We start from the raw sequence: 1708 nt of genomic DNA, 5'->3' as shown, positions 1-1708 counted from the left end.
CTGGGTGTGGGAGTGAGGGTGGGGTTGGAGACCAGAGATTAAGAGACTTTGTATTTCTCTCAGTAACAGGAAAAAGGATGAGGGTATATGGCAAAAGGAGAATGAGGTAAGTGTTTTCAGGAGGAGACATTCAACGTGCTTGGGAGCATAGGGAAGAAAGATCCAGTGGTTGGCAGCTTGGGGGCTCAGGGTGGAGAGATAGGGGAAGGAGGTGACTTTGCAGCAGGGTCTTGAAAAAGTGATAAGATCAGGAGGAGTGAGATCTGGGCGTGGTAGCTGACGTCTGTAATTGTGGCATTTTGGGAGGTGGAGGTGGGAGTATTGCTTGAGGCCGGGAGCTTGAGACCAGCCTGGGTAACATAGTGAGACCTCATCTCGACAAAAAAACAAAAAAAGAAAAAAAGAAAATGCCTGGTGAGGTGGCAAGTACCTGTGGTTCCAGCGACTTGGGAGGCTGAGATGGGAGGACTGCTTGAACCTGGATGCTGGAGGCTGCAGTGAGCCATGATCACGCCACTGCATTCCAGCCTGGACTGCAAAATGAGACACTGTCTTTAAAAAAAAAAAAAAAAGAGAGAGAGAGAGGGAGGAGGTGGGTTGAAAGAGTTAAGGGGAAGGCAAAATGAGAAATGACAAGGTGATTTAAGGTGTAAATACCCGATAACTGAACAATGGAGTAGAAGAGAGGGCCAGTTATGAAAATGAAACCTGGGAATTTAGAGAAGCTTTGCGCCCATGGTGCAGGGCCTGGCACCAGGGAGTTAGACTTTCTGACAATGTGGACAACAAGGAAGGATATCATTGTTTCTGAGCTGAGTGGGCACAGGCTGTGAGCAGTTGATACAGGAAGATGACCACTGATGCCCTGTGTGACACAGTTTGGAGATGGGAAAGGCTGGAGGAAGGGAAATAGACAGCAAAGTCCACTTCTTTTCTTGCATGTTTTAAATTAAATTGAATTAAACATTACACATTAATGAGAAGATAATAGAATGGATATACCCAGAGAATTCATTCTAACCAGTGCAGTCAAACATCAGATTAAAACATTGGATTAGGGCCTTCTGGCTCTTTCAGAATTTCTGAAGGAAAGCTTGATTGTGTAGTTTAGATTTAGTGCATGATGTTTTAAAAAAATGTTTTATTTTTGAGACAAAGAGGGTCTCAGTTTGTTGCCCAAGCTGGAGTGCAGTGACACCATCACAGCACCAAGCCTGGCTAATTTTTTATTTTATTTTTCATAGAGATGAAGTCTCCCTATGTTGCTCAGGCTGGTCTCAAACTCCTGGACTCAAGTAACCCTCCTGCCTTGGCCTCCCAAAGTGCCGGGATTACAACCATGAGCCACTGTGCTTGGCCCAGTGCATTTTTGCTGAGGACACTTCTCCTAAAATCCCTTTTAATTCGCTCCTAATTTCTTTTCTCTTTTGTGTTCAAGAACTTTTACAAAACTGCCACTGAGGCTGAATGCACCCTCATTCCCGGGGAACATGGGCAGAGGGCCAGTCGGTTGTCTGTTTCATGACAGAACAATGTTCCTATGTACTGGAGCTTTGGACAAAAAGAAACCATCATGGGTACTCAATGTCTGACCCTCATTATGTAGCCATTGAGACCCTCTGCCCACCTACAAAAACAAATTCTTAAGAGTAAATGTAAAAGAAATAATATACGTATGTATAATGGAAGGCATACACACAAATGTAAA

This window comes from Homo sapiens, chromosome 10 (genome assembly GCF_000001405.40).
Source record: "Homo sapiens chromosome 10, GRCh38.p14 Primary Assembly".
In the NCBI taxonomy this organism is placed as follows: Eukaryota; Metazoa; Chordata; class Mammalia; order Primates; family Hominidae; genus Homo; species Homo sapiens.
This window is presented reverse-complemented; position numbering follows the sequence as displayed.